This window comes from Homo sapiens, chromosome 19 (assembly GCF_000001405.40).
Source record: "Homo sapiens chromosome 19, GRCh38.p14 Primary Assembly".
NCBI lineage: Eukaryota > Metazoa > Chordata > Mammalia > Primates > Hominidae > Homo > Homo sapiens.
Genome location: NC_000019.10, coordinates 7,595,511 through 7,618,992, shown reverse-complemented (window position 1 = coordinate 7,618,992; position 23,482 = coordinate 7,595,511). Strand labels below are relative to the sequence as shown.

The following is a 23,482-nucleotide window of genomic DNA, read 5'->3' as shown; positions in this document are numbered from 1 at the left end:
TAAGGGGTTTTAAGTATCAAGGGATATAATCAGATTTGTGCTTCGAACGGGTCACACAGGCTGCTGTGTGGGCAGGAGGCAGCTGGGGACATGGGGAGGCCCAGGCCATTGGCTTGGACTTTGCAGGGAGGTGACAGGGCTGGAGAGAAGCGAGTGAGACAGGAGGGGAGGGCTGAGCTGTGTAGAACTGGGCGGCAGCTGGGAAGCCAGTGCCAGCCTGGGTTGCAGGGCAGGCCTTGCATCTGAGAGAGACACCCAGGCAATGGCAGGGGGCAACTGGATTGTCAAACACAGATCTCAGAGAAACCTGGAATCACTGGCCCAGAGGTAGATGCCAGGCCTGGAAACACCAGGCTGGCCAGGGGAGACAAGATCAAGTTAGAAGTTGGCCCCATGCCAAACGCTGGTTAGGGCCAGTAACAACAGCCACACAGACCAGGAGAATCCAGCAAGCGGGGGTGGCCAAGGCCACAGGAAGGGCCAGTGGGACACCTCGAGCCTGAGAGATCAGTTCAGAGGCAGCTTCGAAACAGCCCTGGCTGGGGGCTGGGAGTGCCCTGGCTGAAGCTGCATTAGGGGATTATGGGGGTTGAAGACAGGAGTTGGTTTGAGAAAGAACAGGAGACTAAAAACACAGCCAGGGAGTGTGGGACCCCGGCCAGCCTCGGAGGGGGGGACAAGGTTCAACTTCTCTTTAAATTATTTTATTCAAGAAGTGGGGGAGGACAGACAAGGGGACTGAGCTGAGCCCTGAGTCCCTGAACCTCCCAGCTCAGCCCCCACAGCAGGACTGGACTCAAAGTCAGAGGGTGGAGACTCCAGCCCCACCCAGACACGGTTGGGGACAGACAGGACCCAGGAATACCGACTGACTGTCCTCCAGGGGATGGCGGCCGCAGCACACAGGGCCCGGCCCGTGGACCGCCCGGGTGGGGCTATTTGGGGGTGCCGCCGCCCTTCTTGGGAGTGGTGGGTTTCTTGCCCTGCCAGAGGTGTCCCTGGATGGTGAAGGCATCGACGCTCATGGACATGGTCTTGGCGGGGATCTGGGTGAAGCGCTTGCGGTCCGAGTTGTACTTGTAGATGCCTTCCACCATGGCGGGCGTGACGGTCCGGGGCCCATACCCTGCCAGCCGCGACAGCTCCTCTGTCTCCCCCGACAGCGTGTAGAGCGCCCGGAACTGGCAGCTCGAGTCGCGAAAGAGGATCAGGAAGTGGTTGGCCTTGCTTTTCTCAATTTCCTGGGCAGGAGTGCTGGAAATGGTCAGCTGGCCAAGTCAGGCCACCCACCCACCCACCAGCCCCCAACTCCCACGTGTGGGCGGGCTCACCTCCAGAATGCGATTCTTCTGCGGTTCGTTCACCTTGCCCGCCAGGCAGCAGTGTGATAGGGCATTGTGGATGATGAACTTGTTGGACTTGGCGCTGGGTTCTTTGTACAGCCGTGGACCTAGAGGGTGAGGCAGTGGGAGGGGGTGGGGGGCAGCAGGAATGAGCAGGGGCTGTGGAGGAGGGTGCCTGTTGCTCCTCACATCACCCAGAGCCCCTGCTTACCTGTGTACTCGGGCACTGACGCTGGGGAGGAGGCATTGCTGCCATTTTCCCAGTCCCGTTCGCGGCTTCCAGGCAGGCGGCTTGGGGACATGAGACCTGACGGGGAGGGAGCCCTGCAGTGGGAGAAGGATGGGATGGAGGTGGGGTCAGGATGGGATGGAGGTGGGGTCAGAGATGGGAAGCTTCCCTATGTGCAGAGGGGCCAAGGAAAATAAGGGCCACGGCTGGGCATCGTGGCTCATGCCTGTAATCCCAGCACTTCGGGAGGCCAAAGCGGGCAGATCACTTGAGGTCGGGAGTTCGAGGCCAGCCTGGCCAACATGGTGAAACACCGTCTCTACAGGCACGGGTAACCCCAGCTACTCAGGAGGCTGAGGCACGAGAATCACTTGCACCCAGGGGGCGGAGGTTGCCGTGAGCCAAGATTGCGCCACTGCACTCCAGCCTGGGCGACACAGCAAGACTCCCTCTCAAAAAAACAAAAAAAAAAAAAAAAAAAAAAAAGGCGGGCCACACACACTGCAGAGGAGGCGGTATACACTGCACACCCTCCCAAGTCCATGCAGTGCCCCGTGCTGTCCTCCTCCCACAGGAACACCTGGCACTCAAGTGCACTGAGGCACATGCTTGAGTCCTGTCTGCCAGGTACAGACTATGCCCCATGCACACGTGCCCACACGCGTCCCTCCATCTCTTCATGGCGTATCCATAAACTCGAGCCATACCGCCCTCTAGGTTCACCCAGATGCCCACACACCTCCCAGGCTCTGGGAAGCCACCCGGCATACGAACCCCGCCTGTGCGGGCTAAACTCACCGAGACGTGGGCCTCTTCACCCCGAGGTTATTGTGGGCCTCGTTGGCCACAGTGGACAGTGACAGGGTGGACTGGGAATAGATTTTGCTCAGCCGAGAGCCTGGGGACAGAGATTGCAGGTCAGTGCCCACCAGAAGCCCCTGCCCTCCACAACACCCGGTCCAGCAGGCTGTGGGGGGAACACAGGAGGAGTCAGTCCTGCCCAAGACCCCTCGGCCCTCTGCAGCACCCCTATGGGGGGACCCCTCTATGAGGGAGGATGCTTTGCCCAGCAGGCAAGTGGGGAGCAGCACTGGGTCAGCCCCTACTGGCAACGCCTCACCCCAAACATACTCCCAAAGGTTCCTATCCATGAAGCCACAGAAGAAAGACCCCTCATCCCACTGCACCCCACATCCCTATGGAAGTCTTTTTTTTTTTTTTTTGTCTTATTTCTGAGACGGAGTCTCGCTCTGTTGCCCAGGCTGGAGTACAGTGGTGCAATCTTGGCTCACCGCAACCTCCACCTCCCAGGCTCAAGCGATTCTCCTGCCTCAGTCTCCCAAGTAGCTGGGACTACAGGCATGCCATATGCCCGGCTAATTTTTGTATTTTTAATAGAGATGGGCTTTCACCATGTTGGCCAGGCTGGTCTCAAACTCCTGACCTCAGGTGATCCGCCCGCCTCAGCCTCCCAAAGTGCTGGGATTACAGGCGTGAGCCACCGCGCCCGGCCCCCTATGGAAGTCTTTACCCAAGAGACAGTGTCCAACCCCACCTGAGGCCCCCTGTCACCCCACATACCCGCCCCCTCCCGGCACCCCTGCTTACATCTCCCTCCCCCTCCCCCCTTACCCATGGGGGCCTCACCCAGTGAGCCCCGGAAAGGGCACTGGGCAGGCCCCGTCCCCCAAGGGTCCTCACCCAGCAGGCCGCGGGCTGGGCTTCGTGCCAGGGCTGAGTCGTCACAGCAACCCGAGCGAGGCCGGGTGGCCCTCCGCCCGCCCCGACCTGGACCCCCGGACCCCGCAGCCCGGGGCCGCAGCACCTTATCGAGGTCGTCCATCAGCTTCAGCTGGGCCCGGCGCTCGTACTCCTGCCGCGTGAAGTCCCCCTTCCGGGGGCCCACCTCCTCCTCGGCTGGAGCCCGGGCAGCAGGGGCTGGAGTCGCCATCGGGACTGCGGACACAAGCGGGGCTGGGCCCGGGGCCTCCTCTTGGGCCAGCCTGCAGATCACAGGGAATCGGCATCAGAACCGCTCACGGGGTCCGCGGTGGCAGACAGGCCAAGGAGCGGGCGTCCCGGGCAGGCCCGGCCTCACCTCGCGGCCTCCTCCCTCCGCTGTTCCTTCTCCACCTCCTGCCACTGCTTGCGCCGCCGCGCCTCCTCTGCTCGCCGCTGCTGCCGCTCCAGCAGGCTGGCCCGCTTTTGGGCCATCTCGTCCTCAGGCTTGTCTTCATCCTGGGGACAGACGCCGAGTCCAGCCAGCCACCCCCTCCCCCAACATGGCTGGAGGCCCATCTTCCCTCCACCCAGCCTGCCCGCCACCCACCTGTGCTTTTGTTTTCATCATTGTTCTAAATGCACTTAGTTGGTGCCTACTGTATGCACAGCCCCACACTAAGTACTGGGACACAACAGGGATGGGATACACTGGGTGCCGCTCACACACACACTGCTTAACCCAACGGGGAAGACAAAAGCAGCAGACAGCAGTGAGTGCCAGCAAAAGCTCGTGTTGGGCACAGACACTCTACACTGCGGGAGGACCCCGGCCTGGCCTGGAGACACCCAGGAAGGCTTCCCAGAGGAAGTACCCTGTAGAATGATCAGGATTTAACTAGGTGGGCGTACAGAGCAGAGCGTTCCAGGCAGAGGGGACAGCTAGTGCCGAGGCCCTGAGGCTGGAGCAAACCTACTGGGGGGCACGGAAGTACAAGGGGGCCAGTGTGGCTGGGACACAGAGCTGAGGACAGTGGCGCAGGACTAAGTCAGAAGTGAGTACAGGCCAGACGCGGTGGCTCACACCTGTAATCCCAGCAGTTTGGGAGGCCAAGGCAGGTGGATCACTTGAGGTCAGGGGTTCGAGACCAGCCTGGAGAAACCCTGTCTCTACTAAAAATGCAAAAATCAGCTGGGCGTGGTGGCATGCTCTTGTAGTCCCAGCTACTCAGGAGGGTGAGACAAGAGAATCACTTAAACCCAGGAGGTGGAGGTTGCAGTGAACCGAGATCATGCCACTGCACTCCAGCCTGGGCCACAGAGCGAGACTCTGTCTCAAAAAACAAAAAACAAAAGAAAACAAAACAAAAAAAAAAAATGAAAAGGAAGTCCTCCCCAGGGCTTTGGGCTGTGCTCACTTTTTTTTTTTTTTTTTTTTTTTTGAGATGGAGTCTCGCTCTGTTGCCCAGGCTGGAGTGCAGTGGCACGATCTAGGCCCACTGCAAGCTCCACCTCCTGGGTTCACGCCATTCTCCTGCCTCAGCCTCCTGAGTAGCTGGGACTACATGCGCCCGCCACCACGCCAGCTAATTTTTTGTATTTTTAGTAGAGACGGAGTTTCACCATGTTAGCCAGGATGGTCTCGATCTCCTGACCTCATGATCCGCCTGCCTTGGCCTCCCAAAGTGCTGGGATTACAGGCATGAGCCACTGCGCCCGGCCACCCTGGGGAGGACTTTCATTCTAAAAGCAAGGGTAAGGGGAGCAGTCAAAATCCCCGACCACTCAGTGCAAAATGGCCCGGGATGGAGGCAGGCAGCAGAGGCCAGTCAGGTAACCCTAGGTGTCCCCGGCTGGGAAAGCCATGGGAATGGAGAGACAGTGGACACAGGGCAGGGCCAGGAAAGGGGTGGTAGGAGCGTGCTGGGGGCGAGGGGGTGAAGGAGAGGATGAGCAAGGAGGTGCGCTGAAGATCCTGGTCCTGTCCGTCTATCTGTCCATCACCCACCCACCCATGCAACCAGCCATTCATCCATCTGTCTATCCATGACTCCTCCCTGTTTCTCCACCCCTCCCCACATCTATCTATCCCCCTTGTCCGGCCACCCATACCTTGTTTGGGAGGGACATGACTGGGTCAGCCCCCACTGGAAACCCCTCACCCCCAAACATACCCGAGGGCCTCACTCATTAAGCCACAGGGGGAGGACCTCTCACCCCACTGCACCCCCACAGCCCCTTGTGGAAGTCCTTACCCAACAGACAGGGTCAAATCCCATCTGAGGCCCCTGTCACCCCACATACCTGCCCCCCACCGTGCAAATGTCCCTTTCCCCCCTCTCCCACCCATGGAGGCCTTACCCAGCCACTCACACCTGTTCTGTCCATTCATACCTGGCTCCCCATCTATCCCCCACCCGCCCACCCATCCTTCAGTAAAGCCCTATTCATCCAATAGTGGGTTTGTCCACCTCCCCCCGCCCCCACCCGCCCCCGCCCCAGGCCCAGGACCCTCCAGCCACCTGCTCGGGGACTCACCTTGTAGAAGAACCCCAGCCCCACCCGGGGCTCCCCCTCCGAAGACGCCTCCTCCTCCAAGGAATCCTCAGCACCAGCGGGGCTCCCGTCTCCCTCGTCCTCGGCGGCGGGATCTGCCAGGCTGCCCAGCGGGATCTCGATGAGGCCCGGCCGGGCGGCTGGCTCCTCGGGGGGCGTCTCCTCCGCCAGGAGGATGGAAGAGCGCGTCTGCACGGGCACCTGGCTCGGCGAGAACTTGCGCAGGTGGGGGAGGCTGTCTACGTCGTGGGGTGGCGTAAGCACCCTGGTCAAGGGTGCCAGCCGCAGCTCCGCTGGCCGCGTGTGTTTCGGGCTGCGGGGTGACTGGCTGGGCCCGGGCCCAGGGCTGCGCCGGGTGGCCGGGACTCGCCGGGCGGGGCTGGGGGATGCAGCTTTGGGCCCCGTCGTGGGGCCAGGGATGACCCACGCAGCAGGTGGTGGGGCGGATCCGGGGGCCTCGGGCGGGGCCAGGAGCCGCTGCTGCTGGTCCGTGAGCCTCTGCATGTCCCGCTGCAGCGAGCTCAAGGCGGCACTCAGCTTGCTGACCGCTCGATTGTATTCCCCCAGCCCCTCGTGGGGCACCGGGCCCAGGTCTGGCGAGAAGGTCACTGCCTTGGGCCGTGAGGTTGGCTCACCCTGGCCCTCGCCTGCGGGCCGCTCCCCACCAGGGACTGGACCGGAATCGGCCTCCTCCGCCTCTGCTTCCGCCTCCCCAGAGGCTTCCCGCGGCTGCACCTGCAGGAAGGCGCTTTTGCCCAGCCGCTGGCGGTGCTTGGCGAATATGGCCTCAATCCGTCGCTTCTGAGCCTCGATGGCTCTGCGTTTCTCCTCCAGCCGGGCGCTGAGCTCACTCATCTCCGAGCTCAGGGCCTCCGGCGGGGCCGGAGTGGACGTGGGGGACCCCGCTCCGGCCTCAGCCTCTGCCTTCACCAGCTGTTTCTTGCGTTCTGCAAAGCTGGTCATTTTCACCTCGGAGTTGGTGGCTGCTGGGGACGAAGCCACCGCCTTCGGGGACCCCTCGGATGGGGCTGGCGGTTTCGATGCCTCCCCCACCAGACAGGGAGATGGTTTCGAGGGGGTCTCGGGGTGTGGCATGTACACTGGTGCTTTGGTGGGCCTGTCGGACAGTGGTTTGGAGGTCCCCTCGGGCAGGTAGGGGGAGGCCAGGGATGGCTTGGAGGGCCCCTCAGGGGAGTGGAGGTAGAAGCTGCCGTCGGCCGCCCCATCTGGGAGGAGCCGGGGCTCGGCACTGTGGATGATCTGCAGAGCTTCCTCGATGGTGGGCAGGTCACCAGGCTCCGGGGGTGGCTGGGTGGGGGTCCTGGCCGGCGCGGGACGCGGGGGGCCCAGGCTGTCCGAGCTCACAGAGCGGAGGAGCACAGGGTCTCCCATGACGACATCCACGTCGCTGTCCAGGCCAAAGGGGGTGCTGAATGACACAGCCTGGGAGAGGGGACGGCTGGGCGGCCGGAGGGAGGGGTCAGCCCCTGGGACCAGCCTCGGCCCCAACCCGCCCTAGCCTGCTCCACCCCCTACCCTGGCCTGTGAGGTCTACTCACCTGAGCTGCCGGTTCCAGGCCTTGCCCAGGGCCTCCATATGGGACATGGACGGGGAAGACTTCAGGGAGCCTGGGGGAGGCGATGAGTGGTCACTATGGGGACCCTGGGAACCCTGAGTGGGGTCAGCCAGCATCTGGGGACAACCTCTGCAAGGTCATTGGGTGAGTCACTGATGGCTCATTATGTGGTCTAGTGAGACCAGAGGTTTCCAGAAACAGATACCCGGGGCCATTTACTGTCACTACGGGGTACTGTGGGGCCACTGGGGAGGCCATTCTGGGGGTCACTTTGGGATGCCCAAGGGGGATCTGATGGAGAGGCTATTGGAAGGCTCACGAGGAGACAACATGAGGCCCACTGGGGCAGTCTGTGAGTGGGGGGGTCCCCCGTGACAGAAGCCACCTACCCCCTCCTCACCTGTGGATCCTCGGAGTGGGGACTGGGGGCCACCAGATGACAGAAGCGGGTGGCGGAAGGTGAAGACAGGAGAACTGTACGGAGAGACGTACTTCAGCCTCAGGACCCCCACCTCCTCCTCCGCCTCTCCCCGGGGGGAGACAACAGCATCACCCAGCTGCGTCCCAGTGCTCAGCAAGGCAGACATGGAGCCCCACACCCACAATGCCAGAGACTCGCCCAGTGTGGGGAGCGTACCTACTGCCGCTGTTGTTCTGAGGTGGGGAGGCCTCAGTGCCCCGGGGGGAGGCAGCTGCAGTACAGAGAAGAGGGTCAGGCGGGGGTTTGGCTCTCCCACCCGCCCCCGACCCGGCCCCCAGGCCCCCAGGGCCTCACCGTGACCATCGGGCAAGTCCTTCACTTGCACAAAGTCGGGCTTGAGCACCTCAAAACACATGAACAACTCGGCCAGCATCACCACCAAGTTGACCTGGAGGTGGGAGGCCGGGTCAGCAGACGGGACCCCTGGCCCCAGATGCCCGCCTCGGCCCAGGAGGCCCCAGGATGGCCTTACCTTGAGTGGCGGTGGGACGTACAGCAAGTCCTCAAGGGACAGGGGGCAGCCACGAGGAAGGCGAGAGGCACAGAAATCCTGCACGAGCTGGAGGTTGTACAGGCTGTCCGCCACAGACATGGGGTCCTTCAAGCACACCTCTGTGGGGACAGGAGGAGTGGGTCCCCAACTCTATGAGGAGGAGGATGGGGCCCCAGGGAAGCCAGGGACCAGCAGTCCCCCACACACGGAAGACCTCCTATGAGCCCAGCTTCTGCCAGGTGCCCTTCGAGAGGTGAATTCTTTTTTTTTTTTTTTTGAGATGGAGTCTCGCTCTGTCACCCAGGCTGTAGTGCAGTGGCGCAATCCCAGCTCACTGCAACCTCTGCCTCCCGGGTTCAAGTGATTCTCCCACCTCAGCCTCCTGAGTAGCTGGGATTACAGGAGTGTGCCACAACACCAGGCTAATTTTTTGTGGTTTTAGTAGAGATGGGGTTTCACCGTGTTAGCCAGGATGGTCTCGATCTCCTGACTTCATGATCCGGCCGCCTCAGCCACCCAAAGTGCTGGGATTACAGGCGTGAGCCACTGTACCCGGCCGAGGTGAATTATATGATAGACCGTCCTTAGGCCGGGGGTCCTTAACCCCCGGGGCGTGGCCTGTCAGGAACTGAACCGTACAGCAGGTGAGCTGCAGTGAGTGTATTTACAGCCGCTCCCCGTCACTTGCAGGACCACCCGAACCCCGCTTCCGTCAGATCAGCGGCGGCATTCGATTCTTACAGGAGCGCGAACCCTATTGTGAACCTGGCGTGTGAGGGATCTAGGTTGCACCCTCCTTATGAAAATCGAATGCCTGATGATCTGTCACTGTCTCTCATCACCCCCAGCTGGGACCGTCTAGTTGCAGGAACAAGCTCAGGGCTCCCACTGGTTCCCCATGATGATGAGTTGTAGAATTATTTCATTCTATGTTACAACGTATTAGATATAAAGTACATAATAAAGATTAACGTGCTTGAATTATCCCAAGACCACCTCCCTGCCTCCATCTGTGGAAAAATTGTCTTCCACAAAACCGGTCCCTGGAGCCAAAAAGTTGGTGACTATTGCCTTAGGCCTTTGCATCTTTCTAGAACACTCTCCCCCAAGACCTCAGCTCAAAAAGCTTTTCCGGGCCAGGTGTGGTGGCTCACACCTGTAATCTTAGCACTTGGGGAGGCTGAGGTGGGAGGATGTTTGAGCCCAGGGATTCAAGACCAGCTTGGGCAACATAGCAAGACCCCATCTCTATTTTATACTTTTTTTTTTTTTTTTTTGAGATGGAGTCTCGCTCTGTTGCCCAGGCTAGAGTGCAATGGCATGGTCTTGACTCACTGCAACCTCCACTTCCTGGGTTCAAGCGATTCTCCTGCCTCAGCCTCCTGTGTAGCTGGGATTACAGGCGCCCGCCACCGCACCCGGCTAATTTCTGTATTTTTAGTAGAGACGGTTTCACCATCCTGGCCAGGCTGGTCTTGAACTCGTGACCTCGTGATCCACCCGCCTCGGCCTCCCAAACTGCTGGGATTACAGGCGTGAGCCACCACACCCAGCCCTATAATTTTTTTTTTAATAAAAAAGAAAAAAGAGTTTTTTTAAAAAAAGCTTTTTCTGACCACCCATTGCCTTTAGGACTACCCAGTATGCAAAAAGTACTTCTGGGCCGGGTGCAGTGGTTCACACTTGCAATCCCAGCACTTAGGGAGGCCAAGGTAGGCAGATCACTTGAGGTCAGGAATTCGACACCAGCCTGGCCAACACGGTGAAACCCGTCTCTACTAAAAATACAAAAATTAGCCAGGCGTGGTGGCGTGTGGCTGTAGTCCCAGCTACTCAGGAGGCTGAGGCAGGAGAATGGCTTGAACCTGGGAGGTGGAGGTTGCAGTGAGCCGAGATCATGCCATTACACTCCAGCCTGGGCAACAGAGCAAGACTCCCGTCTCAAAAAAAAAAAAAAAAAAGTACTTTTGGATAAACTTAGTATCTTTCTCTCCCAGCTAGAGCCGTCTGTGAAGTGGGGAGTGTGTCTCTATTCTGGCTGGATCCCCAGTGCCTAAAACAAGGTCTGGCACACAGTCCACACTCCATACGTTTCATCTGCTGCAGGAATGAACTCCTGGAAGCACAGAGAGGTTTATATACTTGTGTGAGGTCACAAAGCTCATTGGGGAAGAGAGAGACACAAACTCAGGCCTGCCAGTTCCGGAAGCTGCCCTCATGACCACTGCATCGTTGCTGGTCTCGCGGACCTGGGGATGGAGGGTCTAGGGGCTGGGACTTAGGATGCCCAGCTCCCCGGCACAAGATCTGTTCCACATCCATTTACTCACCCTCAAGTCGAAGCAGCTGGGGACAATAGCAGTGGATGGTGGCGGCCAGCGCGGCCCCACTGGCCAGGTCCTGGAGGCTGGTCACCGTCGGGAAGCAGGGGGCACGTCGCGCCACCACACGGTCCTTGCGGTATCGGATCTGCAGATGGGAGCCAGGTCAGGTGAGTGGCCAGGCTGGCCCCCAGGGTCAGCGGTCATGCAGGCTGGGCAGGGAGGCCTGGGGTTTCCGCCATGAGGGGGCGGGAAGCTGGGGGTCCCAGAGACAGAGTTGGGGGGCCAGCCTGGAGCAGGGGAGGGGCAGCAGCAAGAGGCAGAGGAGATGTCTTCGAGCAGCCAGGCCAGCAGCGGGGGCTGGGGACAGGGACTCCTGGGACCCCGGGGCGGGGGATACATTACCATGGGGGGTTTGCTCCCCGACTCCTTCAAACAGAAGGCAATTGCGTGCTGGGGGGAGAGGAGCAGCCATCAGCAAGGGGGAGGGGTGCTGACCTGCTGGGCCCCCAAGCCCACCTTGGGGGGGAGGGGGTAGCCCTGACCCTGGTCCTGAGCCCCGGCCGTCCAGCTCCCTGACTGCTCTGGCCGGCTTCGCGAACCCCAGCTCCTCCCAGCCCCAAGGGACCCCACAGAGTAGGAACCCCCTCTTATGCGGGGAATCCTCCTCCCACAAAAGACCCAGGCCCCCAGCTTGGGGAGAGGATGCAGAGGAAGCGGGTAGGCAGGAAGGGAACCTCCCAACCCAGGCCCCAGGGTGGGGGAAGGAGTGAGCAAAGGTGGGGACGCCAGCCAGCCCAAAACCTCCCCCACTTCCTCCTTGTTTATCTACTATGGGAGTAATTTATATGAAGCACAGAGAGGTTTAGATACTTCTGCAAGGTCACACAGCTCATTCAGGGAAGAGAGAAATTTCAACTTCCAGCTTCAGGGATGGGCCTCCTCCTCCTTTTCAAAGCTGGGATTTTTCTCTAGGGAAGCTGGGGGTCTCAGTTAGGAAAGTTATTCTATCTTCTTCTGCATTGGAGGGTCTTCCCCTTGGCCAGAGGGTGCCCTGCCTGCTAGGGTCAGGATCCACGTTTGTGATGGGCTGCAGGTCCCCCCTTCAGAAATTTATGTGGTCTCCCCACCTCGGCTAAGGGGGACAGGTTCAGGGGGTCCCACCCTCTTCATTAATGGGAACGGGGAGGGCTTGCCCTTCTGAATAACGGGAGGGGAAGTTCGTCCCCACCCATCAGTTCGCTGGGGGAGGGGTCTGCCCTCTCAGTTAATGGCCGAGATTCTACCCTTCTCTTGGTTCACAGAGGGGTTCTCCCTGTCTCCCAGGACTGGGGTCCAACCTCCTTTGCTCACAGCTTGGGGAGGTATGAGAGGGCGCGCAGACAGGCAGGCAGAAACAGACATACAGACAGACAGAGCTACAAGCAGGGCAGGCAGACGGGGCGGACAGACAGCCCCACTTACAGGAACCAGCTTCCAGTACCAGCGCGTAGGGCACTGAGGCCAGAGAGGCAGAGAGGAGGGCAGCGGGTACCGGCACAGGGGACGGGCAGGGCACAGAGAGATTGAGAGAGGGGGGAAGAAAGAGAGAGTGTGTCACCTCTAGCCCCCTCCCCACTTCAGGAGTGTCCAGGAAGCACAGCCCTGCCCTCCCAGATCTCCGGTCCCCCATCCTTCTGACGGTTCTATGCCCTGGCCTCACCGAGGGCTGCGCCGGGGCCGCCCCGTCTGCAGGGGCTGCTGGAGAGGCTCGCTGGGCCGCTTCCTGCTCGGTCTTCTCCTGCAGCCGCCGGACGGTCTGGAGGGCAGGGAGGGGGTCAGTGGTCTGGCCACTGGACGATGCTGGTCCCCGAACCCACCCCAGGCCCAACCCCACCTACCGTGTCCACCCAGAAAAGCAGCTTGTGCTCCAAGCTGGTCAGGGCCAAGGGACCTGGCAGGGTCTTTGTCCACTCGAAGGCAAAGGCAGCCATGAGGGCATCAATGACAGCTAGGTGGGCTCCCTGTGGGGGCAAGCGCTAGAGGGTGAGACCTGAGAGCTGCAGGAGGCGCACCTCGGCCCCCAAGGGCCTGGGAAAAGGAAGAACCTGCAGATGGGAGGGACTTGACGGGGGGGGTGGGGCTTGAGGGGGCGGGGCCAGTGGTTCATGGGTGGGGCCTTAAGGGAAGGAACAAGAAATGGGGTCCCGGAAAAGCCACGCACGATGGGTGGGACTTTGAGGTCAGATGCTAGGCGTTAGGATAGGGTGGGCTGTGTACACAAATCCTCAAGGGCCAGAGTAGCGCCTTTTTGGGGAGCTGGGTTTGATGGGAGGGGCCAGGCTTGATGGGAAGAGCTTGAGGGGAGGAGCCAGGGCTGGGGGGAAGAGCTAGGCTTAATGAACAGAGCTTGAGGGGAGGAGCCTGGACTGGTGGGAGGAGCTAGGTTTGATGGACAGAGCTTAAGGGACAGAGCCAAGACTGATGATAGGAGGAGCTAGGTTTGATGGACATAGCTTAAGGGAAGGAGCCAAGACTGATAGGAGCTAGGCTTAATGGATAGCGCTTGAGGGGAGGAGCCAGACCTCGTGGGAGGAACTAGGCTTAATAGCGCTTGAGGGGAGGAGCCAGGCCTGGTGGGAGGAACCTGGGGGAGGAGCCAAGCCTGATGGGAGGAGCTAGGCTTAATCGACAAAGCTTGAAAGGAGCCAAGACTGATAGAGGGAACTTGGGAGGAGCCAGGACTGGCGGGAGGAGCTTGAGGGGAGGAGCTGAGCATGGTAGGCGTGGTCTAACAGGCAGTGGCGGGGCCTACCATGAGAATGGGCTGGTGCCTCAGGTCGGCCTCGCGCACCGGGCGCTCGGGCAAAGCAGGCACTGTGCCCCTCCGCGCCAGCAGGGCCAGCAGTGCAGAGGGGTTGGGGGGTGTTTCAAGCTGTGGCAGTGCCTGGCGCCAGGCTCTGCAGTAGAGCTCGGCTGAGAGCAGCAGCCGTGTCACCGGGGGCTTCACATGCTCCTGCGCGTACTGGTCGGTATAGAAGGGCTCCCACAGCTCCGGGGGCACGTGCTCTGTGGGGGCATAGAGGGGAAACACGGGGGTCAGGGTCACCAGATACAACACACACACACACACACACACACACACACCACATGGCCCGGATTAAGAGTGTGTCTGGACCAGGGAGGATGGCATTGGGAAAGGAGAAAGGGGATCTGGGCTGAGAGTGCAGATGTGCAGGAGTTTGCTGGAGGAAGGGGTGATGGCGTTGTAGGCAGAGGGGCCTGCAGATGCAAAGCCCAGCAGGTGGGAGAGAACACGGTGCCTCAGGGAGCTGATGGGCACTTAGAGTGGAAAGGAGGGGAGGCTACCCCCAATACCAGGCCAGCTGGACTGGCTCTTGTAGGTCCCAGGAAAGACAATAACATCGGCAATCCTAAGAGCCTTCCTGCTCTTGCCAATGTAGACTCACTGAGCCTTACATCAACGCTAGGAGGCAGCCAGGGCCCAATTGGCAACCCCCATGTTACAGAGGAGGAAACTGAGGCACAGAGAAGGAAAGTCCCTTGCCCCAGGCCAAATAACTCTTCAACACCAGGACTGGGGTTAGACCCAGCAAACTGGACGCCCTCTCTTAGCTTGCAGGCAGGGGGGGATGAGTGGGGGGCACACAGGCGAGCAGGGGAGGTGGGCACACCACAGGCACATCGAGGGAGTTGAGTGATGTAAACCTGGTGATTGAAGGGAGGAGGCAAGGGACAGAGAGGGAGGTAGCCAGGACCTTGCTGGGTCTGAGGGGGAAGAGGGAAGAGAGGGGTAATGACTGAGCTTGGGTGCAGGAGGAATGGGAGGTGAAGGGGTGAAATTGAATGTGAGGGGCTTTGAGGACATCCTTGAGGCAGATTATGTGAAAGGCTGGGGCTTAGAGAGATGGTGAGGTCACATCATAGAGACAGCCTGAGGTCCCTAAATAGGACAATGGGAAGAGGCGTGAGGAAGCCCCAGGTGGACAGTGGGCTGGGGGCAGAAATCCACGTAGGACCAAGAGTGGAGAGGAGAAGGCCAGGAAGGCTTGGCAGGGGTCGGGGAAGAGGTGACTGAAATCAACAGCAGGGAATCTGTCCAGCTCTTGTTCTAATCTGCACAGCTTTTGCGGTTTTTTGGAGATAAGAGTCTCTCTGTCGCCCAGGCTGGAGGGCAGTGGTGCAATCTTGGCTCACTGCAACCTCTGCCTCCCGGGCTCGAATGATTCTCCTGCCTCAGACTCCCAAGTAGCTGGGATTACAGGTGCGATGCTGCCATACCCGGCTAATTTTTGTATGTTGTAGAAACAGGGTTATCACCATTTTGGCCAGGCTGGTCTTGAACTCCTGACCTCAAGCGATCTGCTCACCTTGGCCTCCCAAAGTGCTGGGATTACAGGCGTGAGCCACCACGCCCAGCCTGCACAGCCTTCTCTGTTTGTTTGAGTTTTTGCTGGAGTGCAGTGGCACGATCATGGCTCACTGCAACCTGAACTCTGGGCTCAAGGGATCCTCCCTGCCTCAGCCTCCTGAGTAGCTGGGACCGCAGGCACGTGCCACCACACCCAGCCAATTTTTAAATTTTTTTATAAAGATGGAAGCCTCACCATGTTGCTCAGGCTGGTTTCGAATTTCCTGGCCTCAAGTGATCCACCTGCCTTGGCTTCCCAAAGTGCTGGGATTATAGGGGTAAGCCACTGTGCCCAGACTTGTTTTGTATATTGGGGTTCTGTGTGTGTGTTTGAAAGAACGGGGTGGGGGCCGGGTGCAGTGACTCATGCCTGTAATCCCAGCACTTTGGGAAAACAAGGTAGGCAGATCTTTTAAGGTCAGGAGTTCAAGACCAGCCTTGTCAACATGGTGAAACCCCATCTCTACTAAAAATACAAAAATGAGCTGGGCATGGTGGCACACGCCTATAATCCCAGCTACTCGGGAAGCCGAGGCCGGAGAATCGCTTAAATCTGGGAGGCAGAGGTTGCAGCCAGCTGAGATTGCGCCACTGCACTCCAGCCTGGGTGATAGAGCAAGCCTCTGTCTTAAAAAAAAAAAAAAGAAAGAAAGAAAAAAAAAGAAAAGAAAGAACAGGGTAAGGGGTTCTAGTGCTTCAGAACATATTTGAACGGGACTTCTCCACCTGTGAGGACCCAGGCACTCTTGGCTGCCTTCTGTCCCTCCCTGTCCTGGCTCCTTTCCCACCTTCTAAAACCACACTGGACCGTCCCACTTAACGCGCCACCCGCATGTAGACTTGGACCTTCTTTTTGCCCCTCTCATCTTGGCTCCTTGAAAGAAGAGGTATTTCAGGCTCACTTCCTCCCTGCCCTCCCAGCCCCCCTCCACCTCTCCCTCAATTTCCCTGAGCTCGATGCTGCCCTCATGGCTTCCGGTCTCCCCAAGGCCAGCAGGGACCTCCAAAGCATATCTGTGGGCCCGTATCTCGCCTGGGCTCTGTGCCCAGTGCCTCCTTCTTCCAGAAACCTTCCTCCCACAGGCGTCTCCTTGTAAATGGACATGCCCCACCCCCACCCCAGGCCACCCTACCCCGTGACGGCTTCCAGGGCCACCTGAAGACTGCAACAGCGGCTGCCACGGGCCCCACTGCACCCTGGGCATCTCCCACAATTCTCAACATCTCACCCACACCTCCCCTCCTCCCTGCCCCCAAGGCAGTGAGAAATCACCCTCCCTCCCTTTCTTTACGCCCTCACCCCACATTTAATGCGTCCTTGGCTTTCAACTTCCTGATATCTCCCAAATCCAAACCCTCCTCTCTACCTCCCCAGCCCCGGCCTTGGGCACGTCTTGCTCCCACCAGCAAAATCACACGTGTTTCTTTCCTACAGGACTTTTCAGGGCCTTTAAGATGAAAAACAAGAAACAAAAAACACCAAAACCTTAAGCTAGGGCTACACTGACATTTATCAGACACTTATTATACACCGATGTTCTTCCACCTTGGTTCATTGGTACTTGGGGCTGGAAAATTCTTTGTATTCAGGGGATGCTGTCCTGTCCTGTACACTGTGAGATGTTTAGCAAAATCTCTGGTCTGTATTTACTAGACGTCAGTAGTACATTCCTCCCAAGTAATGACAACCACAAATGTCCCCAGACACTGCCAAATGTCAATTAAGTGTCAAAATCATCACCAGTTGAGAACCACTGCCTTATACTATAAACTTATTCTATTTTTCTTTCCTTTTTTTTTTGAGACAATCTTGCTCTGTCACCCAGGCTGGAGTGCAGTGGTGCCATCTCGGCTCACTGCGACCTCTGCTTCCCAAGTTCAAGCTATTCTCCTGCTTCAGCCTCCCAAGTAGCTGGGACTACAGGCGTGCACCACCATGCCCGGCTACTTTTTGTATTTTTAGTAGAGATGGGGTTTCACCACGTTGACCAGGCTGGTCTCAAACCCTGACCTCAAGCAACCCACCCACCTTAGCCTCCCAAAGTGCTGGGATTACAGGCATGAGCCACCACACCTGGCCCCACTTTCTTTTTATTTTATTTATTCATTTATTTTATTTTATTTTATTTTATTTTATTTTATTTTATTTTAGAGATGGGGTCTCACTATGTTGCTCAGGCTGGTCTTGAACTCCTGAGTTCAAGGGACCCTCCCACCTCAGCCTCCTGAGTAGCTGGGACTACAGGCATGTGCTACCACACCTGGCTAAAATGTTTACTGAGCATTATTTACAGCAGAACACTGCTGTCTGATAGAAATACAATGTGCCCAGACTGGCCAACATGGTGAAACCCCACCTCTACTAAAAATACAAAAATTAGCTGGGCGTGGTGGCGCATGTCTGTAATCCCAGCTACTCAGGAGGCTGAGGCACGAGAATCACTTGAACCCAGGAGACGGAGGCTGTGGTGAGCCGAGATTGTGCCCCGGCACTCCAGCCTGGGCCACAGAGCAAGATGCTGTCTCAAAAAGAAAAAAAAAAGAAATATAATGCGTATAATGTGAGCCCAATGAGCCGTCAAGTTTCCTAGAAGCCACATTACATATGTAGAAACAATAAGAATTTAGTAATATATTTCATTGACCCAAGACATATCCCACTCTTATTTTAACATGTAATCAACATAAAAATATTATTCATAAGATATTTTACACTGGTTTTTGTTGTTTGTTTTTGGACCAAGTCTTTGGAACCCTGAGTATATTTTACATTTACAGCACATCTTGGTTCTGATCAACCACATTTCAAGTGACTCAGTAGCCACATCTGGCTGGTGGCCACCATATTGAATAGCACAGGTCTACAACATAGCTAGGATGGATGGATGGATGGATGGATAAATGGATGAATGGGTGGGTGAATGGATGGATGGATGGATAAATGGATGAATGGGTGGGTGGATGGATGGATGGATGGATAAATGGATGAATGGGTGGGTGGATGGATGGATGGATGAATGGGTAGGTGGATGGACAGATAGATGGATGGGTAGATGGGTGGGTGGGTGGATGGGTGGATAAGTGGATGGGTGGGTGGGTGGAAGGGTGGGAGGATGGGTGGGTGGGTGGATGGATGGGTGGATGGAAGGGTGGGTGGATGGGTGGGTGGATGGATGAGTGGGTGGGTGGATGGATGAGTGGATGAGTGGGTGGGTGGATGGATAAGTGGGTGGGTGGATGGATGAGTGGATGAGTGGGTGGGTTGGTGGATGGATGAGTGGGTGGGTGTGTGGGTGGATGGATGGGGGGTGGGTGGGTGGATGGATGGATGGGTAGACGAGTGGGTGGGTGGATGGGTGGATAGGTGGATGGGTGGGACGGTGGGAGGGTGGGTGGATGGATGAGGGGGTGGGTGGGTGGGTGGATGGATGGATGGGCGGGTGGATGGATGAGTCGGCGGGTGCATGGATGAGTGGGCGGGTGGACGGATGGGTGGATGGGTGGGTGGGTGGATGAGTGGGTGGGTGGGTGGATGAGTTGGTGGGTGGGTGCGAGGGTGGGAGAGTGGGTGGGTGGGTGGATGGATGAGTGGGTGGGTGGATGGGTGGATGGATGAGTGGGTGGGTGGGTGGGTGGAAGGATAGATGGGTGGGTGGGTGGATGGACGGACGGATGGGTAGATGGGTGGGTGGGTGGATGGGTGGGAGGGTGGGTGGGTGGATGGGTGGGAGGGTGGGTGGGTGGATGGCTGGGTGGGAGTGTGGGTAGGTGGATGGATGGGTGGGTGGATGGATGGATGGGCGGGTGGATGGATGAGTGGGCGGGTGGATGGATGAGTGGGCGGGTGGATGGATGAGTGGGCGGGTGGATGGATGGGTGGATGGGTGGGTGGGTGGATGAGTGGGTGGGTGGGTAGGTGGATGAGTTGGTGGGTGGGTGGATGGATGGATGGGTGGATGGGTGGGTGGATGGATGGGTGGATAGGTGGATGGGTGGGTGGGAGAGTGTGTGGGTGGGTAGGTGGGTGGGTGGATGGGTGGGTGGGTGGGTGGATGGATGGGCGGGTGGATGGATGGGCGGGTGGATGAGTGGGTGGATGGATGAGTGCGTGGTTGGATGGATGAGTGGGGTGGGTGGATGGATGAGTGTGTGGGTGGATGAGTGCGTGGGTGGATGGATGAGTGGGGTGGGTGGATGGATGAGTGGGGTGGGTGGGTGGGTGGATGGATGAGTGGGGTGGGTGGATGGATGAGTGCGGTGAGTAGGTGGGTGGGTGGATGGATGGATGGATGGATGGATGGATGGATGAATGAATGGGTGGGTGGAAGGATGGATGAGTGGGTGGATGGATGGGTGGATGGATGAGTGCGTGGGTGGATGGATGAGTGGGGTGGGTGGGTGGGTGGGTGGATGGATGAGTGCAGTGGGTAGGTGGGTGGATGGATGGATGGATGAATGAATGGGTGGATGGATGGGTGGATGGATGGATGAGTGGGTGGATGGATGGGTGGATGGATGAGTGCGTGGGTGGATGGATGAGTGGGGTGGGTGGATGGATGAGTGGGGTGGGTGGGTGGATGGATGAGTGCAGTGGGTAGGTGGGTGGGTGGATGGATGGATGAATGAATGGGTGGGTGGATGGATGGATGAGTGGGTAGATGGATGGGTGGATGGATGGATGGAAGGCTGATTGAGACAGGATCTCACTCTGTTGCCCAGGCTGGAGTGCAGTGGCGTGATCATAGCTGACTGTACCCTGGAACTCCTGGGCTCAGGCAATCCTCCTGCCTCAGCCTCCTGAGTAGCTGGGACTACAAGCCCATGCCACCACACCCAACCATTTATTTATACCATGACCTTCCCTGCATCCAGTCATTTAATCCTTACGACACTTATTATTATACCCCTTGTACAGATGAGAAAACCAAGGCCTGGAGAGCTGAGATAACTTGTCCAGGATAAAAATGTCCAACATGAACTTGAGTTTCCCTCACACATCACACATCTGTTCTGAAGGCATAAAGAACTGCATGGGGTGTTTTCCAAATGTGTTTAACATGGAACCCTTTGTTTTTTGAGACAGAGTCTCTCTCTTTCACCCAGGCTGGAGTGCAGTGGTGCAATCTCGGCTCACTGCAACCTCCGCCTCACAGGTTCAACAATTCTCCTGCCTCAGCCTCCCAAGTAGCTGGGACTACAGACGTGTGCCATCATTCCCGGCTAATTTTTGGATTTTTAGTAGAGACGGGGATTCATCGTGTTGGCCAGGCTTGGAACCCTTTCTTATCTAATCTCCAAGCTTGTGTTCTGCTTTTATTTCTGCACAGCCTTCTCACACCTGTGCCTTGGAGTTGCCAGAACTATCCCTTCCTCTGAGCCATCACTACTCCCACGGGGCCACTGCATACCTGATCTTGTCAGTTCCCAACACTGTCCGTGGCTCCCCAGTACCCTTGGATCCATAACCAGGGGCCTGAAGGGCCTTCCTCAGTCTGACCAGCCTCCCTTATCTCCCACCGCCACCCCGGGGACCTGCATCTTATTCTCTGAGAACTCCCTGCTGGTCCACACTCCGAGCCTTTGCCCACTGCCCACACATCTCTTCTCCGTGTCAAACTTCCATGCATCCTTCCAGACTCAAATCTTTCCACCTGTGGGATCTCTTCCCTCCCTGGAAGATTTCAAGAATTTCTTTCCCCAGGCCCCGCTGGCCAGCTTCCCTATGATCTGGTTTCCTGCCCATCCCCCTCTGCCCCATATCCATCCCCTGCCGTCTCCTCTACACCCTGAGCGCCCAGCCCAGCACCTGATAGGTATCATACCGTCAAGAGTCCCCAGAGCTCATGAATCTTGTAGAACTCTGCTCCCATTTCCTTCAGCCCTTCTCCTCTTTTTAGGGGAGTGGAACAGGGAACAGATTGAACTTGACCCTCACGGTAGAGGCAGCCACTGCCGTGTGTCACACAGCAGAGGGAGCTGGGTCAACAAGAACAGAACTGGGTGAGTCAGGGCACTGGGAGCTCACCAACACCCCTCATCAGAAGTTTGCTTTGCTGTCTTCAAAATGGGATAATTTCTACTCTGATTCCTGGCCAGGGGATAATGGATAACGTTAATATTATTCATCAAAATATACCACCGCCAATCACACCAGCAGCGAGCAACCGTTTCGCATGTATCACGCGCCCCGTGCCACGCGAAGAATTCTGTGGTCACTACAGCTTTTACGCCTCCCAGCAACCTTGCAAAGAGGTAACGGGGGGTCTCCATCACTGGAGCAGTGCCCTACACATAGCAAGTGCCCCTGCCCCACAAACATTCGCAAAACAGATAAGTCTGTGAATGAACGCCTTCTTTTATAGAAGGGGAAACAGAAGCTCAGATAATTGGGATAATTCGCATTCTGGTGCAGCTGGACTTCACATTCAATTCTGACACTCCACGTTGAGTTCTCTACAGCCTGGTAACCTTGGAAGTGAGGAGCTGGGGCTGTCCTGGCTGTCCAATGCCCAATCTCTTTCTTCCTCAAGCAAATATCTGCAGGGAGGTAGACCCCAGAGTGGGAAATGCATGCATGGAACGACGCAGACAGAGACTGTCTGGGAGAAAGAGGGACAGGCTGGGGCGGAACCAGGAGACGGACAGCTGTCACTGAGACCCACACCCAGAACAGGTTGATCTGGGAAGGCCAGGGAGAGGGGGGATGGGCTGTGCCAACACCAGTGGGCAGAACCAGTGGGAGAAAAGGATGTACCCCCACAGCTCCCCGCTGGAAAGCCCAGACCTTAATTAACCCCTGTCTTCTCTGGCCAGGCCCTGACTCCTAGCTCTGGCCTGGGGTTGTGAAGCTGCCCAAAGCCGAGACTGAGTGTTTCCAGGGCCTCTAATCCCGGGGACCCGGGATTACGGCATCCTCCCCATTAGGGTGGCTCGGGCTCTCAGGCAAGCGGGCCTGGGGGAGGGAGTGAAGGATCTGCTCTAATGGGAGAAGGCCCCGCAGCCGGGAGGAGCGGGGGGCCCACCCCAGGCGATCTTGTACTACCCATTTCCCTTCAGCTGGGCTCGCCAACCTCCCCAGTAAAATGGGGCCATAAGTCGCAGCTGCCAGGCGCTGGAGGGGGCTATGGAGGCGAAAGGGGGTTCCCAGAGCTCCCCGGTCGCCGCCCGCAGCGCGGCCAGGGCCGACGCGGGGTGTGTGTTGGGGCCTGGGGGTCGTGCGGTGGTGGAGACCGGAGCGCTCGAGACCCCCCAGCGAGGTCGGGGTCTGGGTCTCCAGGGTGTGTGGCGGGGGAAGAGACCGAGAGGAGATCCTCGCAGGGGCGTGATGTGTGTAAAAGAGAAGAAGGCGTGCAAGGGAAGGCCTTGGGGGTGCGGGAGGCGGGAACGAGAGGTCCGCACGGGGAGACCCCACCCGGCCCGCAGACCCCGCCCGGCTCACCTGGAGGCTTGGACGCCGGGGACCCCCGCGCGGAGCTGGGCCGCGGGCCCCACCCCCACCGCGCTCCCGCAGCCGGCGGGGCAAAGTCCACCGCCCGGGCCGAGCAGGAAGCTCGGAGGCCCCGGCGCGGCAGGGGCCCGAGCCCGGGGACCCCCGGCGGCCGGCGCTATTGTTCCCACGGCCCCCTGCCTTCCCGGCCCGGCGCCCCGCCCCCCCCCAGCACCTGCCGCGCCCGGCCCGCCGCCCCCGACCCCGGTCCCCCGAGCCCCGGTACCTGCGCCCCCGAACGCGGCCCGCAGCACCCACGCCAGGCTGGCCGCCGCCTTGGCCCGCGAGAAATCGTACTGGTCCAGCGACTTGATCTCGGGCACTAGAAAGGTCCTCCGCAGCGGCCCGGGCCCGGGGGGCGCCGCCTCCACCATGGCGGCGCCGGGGCTGCGGGCGCCGGGTCCGCGCTCGGACTGGGCTGGGCTGGGCTGCGCCGCGCTCGCGCCCCAGCCGGGCCCGCTGCTGCTACCGCCGCTGCCGCCGCCGCCGCCGCCGCCGCTGCTGAGCCAGGTGCGGCCGCTTGCGCTGGCGACGCTGCGTCGGGCCCGCCCCGGGGAGGAGCCCAGGTGCGCCCCGCCCCCGAACCCGGACCCGGACCCTGGCGCGCCCCTGCGCCCCGCCCGGGCCCCTCACTGCAGTGTGCACGGAGCAGCAGGGGCGGGGCGGAGGGGGGCGGCCTGGACTGCGGCGATGGTGGAGGGAGCTTGCGGAGGACTGAGTGTGTATGTGTGCGCGCGCGCGTGTGTGAGTGTGTGCGCGCGCGCCTAGCTTACTGGAAAGGATTAGGGACCCTCTGTGTGTGCCAGCCCCAGTGTCTACCCTTAGGCGTAGGAGCTCCTGCAAGTGCTTGCAATAAACGCCGGCCC

The 23,482-nt window shown here is 58.9% G+C and overlaps 1 protein-coding gene and 1 non-coding gene across 3 annotated transcripts, besides 5 other annotated features; both read right to left on the bottom strand.

Annotated features, from left to right (window-relative positions):
* Window positions 1-688: 688 nt before the first annotated feature.
* On the bottom strand, window positions 689-23,130 carry CAMSAP3 (calmodulin regulated spectrin associated protein family member 3). 2 transcript variants are annotated; one of them, NM_001080429.3, is made up of 19 exons: window positions 22,843-23,130; window positions 13,514-13,767; window positions 12,600-12,722; window positions 12,422-12,517; window positions 12,184-12,216; window positions 11,125-11,172; window positions 10,729-10,867; window positions 8,378-8,517; window positions 8,200-8,293; window positions 8,062-8,116; window positions 7,825-7,898; window positions 7,407-7,476; window positions 5,830-7,306; window positions 3,671-3,810; window positions 3,274-3,575; window positions 2,371-2,470; window positions 1,555-1,667; window positions 1,332-1,450; window positions 689-1,241 (listed from the first exon to the last, which is right to left on the bottom strand). In NM_001080429.3, exons 1-19 carry the CDS (start codon window positions 22,988-22,990, stop codon window positions 936-938), a joined length of 3,831 nt encoding a protein of 1,276 aa, NP_001073898.1. In that variant the 5' UTR covers window positions 22,991-23,130; the 3' UTR covers window positions 689-935. The 2 variants fall into 2 exon arrangements, with proteins under 2 accessions (NP_001073898.1, NP_065953.1); NM_020902.2 differs by lacking the exons at window positions 11,125-11,172; window positions 12,184-12,216.
* MIR6792 (microRNA 6792) lies at window positions 1,488-1,554 on the bottom strand. The gene has a single exon (NR_106850.1). It is a non-coding gene; the product is annotated as a microRNA 6792 (primary transcript).
* Window positions 13,101-13,600: an enhancer, noted in NCBI's record as "H3K4me1 hESC enhancer chr19:7670279-7670778 (GRCh37/hg19 assembly coordinates)". NCBI's record gives its function as "activates a minimal SCP1, AML or CMV promoter by ChIP-STARR-seq in primed H9 embryonic stem cells {active_cell/tissue: H9 hESC(primed)}" and the evidence as "EXISTENCE:reporter gene assay evidence [ECO:0000049][PMID:30033119]".
* Window positions 13,256-13,550: an enhancer, noted in NCBI's record as "tiled region #4105; K562 Activating DNase matched - State 4:PromP". NCBI's record gives its function as "activates a minimal TATA promoter and a strong SV40 promoter by Sharpr-MPRA in K562 cells {active_cell/tissue: K562}" and the evidence as "EXISTENCE:reporter gene assay evidence [ECO:0000049][PMID:27701403]".
* Window positions 13,601-14,102: an enhancer, noted in NCBI's record as "H3K4me1 hESC enhancer chr19:7669777-7670278 (GRCh37/hg19 assembly coordinates)". NCBI's record gives its function as "activates a minimal SCP1, AML or CMV promoter by ChIP-STARR-seq in primed H9 embryonic stem cells {active_cell/tissue: H9 hESC(primed)}" and the evidence as "EXISTENCE:reporter gene assay evidence [ECO:0000049][PMID:30033119]".
* Window positions 21,546-22,151: an enhancer, noted in NCBI's record as "H3K4me1 hESC enhancer chr19:7661728-7662333 (GRCh37/hg19 assembly coordinates)". NCBI's record gives its function as "activates a minimal SCP1, AML or CMV promoter by ChIP-STARR-seq in naive H9 embryonic stem cells {active_cell/tissue: H9 hESC(naive)}" and the evidence as "EXISTENCE:reporter gene assay evidence [ECO:0000049][PMID:30033119]".
* Window positions 22,991-23,430: a silencer, noted in NCBI's record as "silent region_9987". NCBI's record gives its function as "represses an Ori minimal core promoter by ATAC-STARR-seq in GM12878 lymphoblastoid cells {active_cell/tissue: GM12878}" and the evidence as "EXISTENCE:reporter gene assay evidence [ECO:0000049][PMID:35858748]".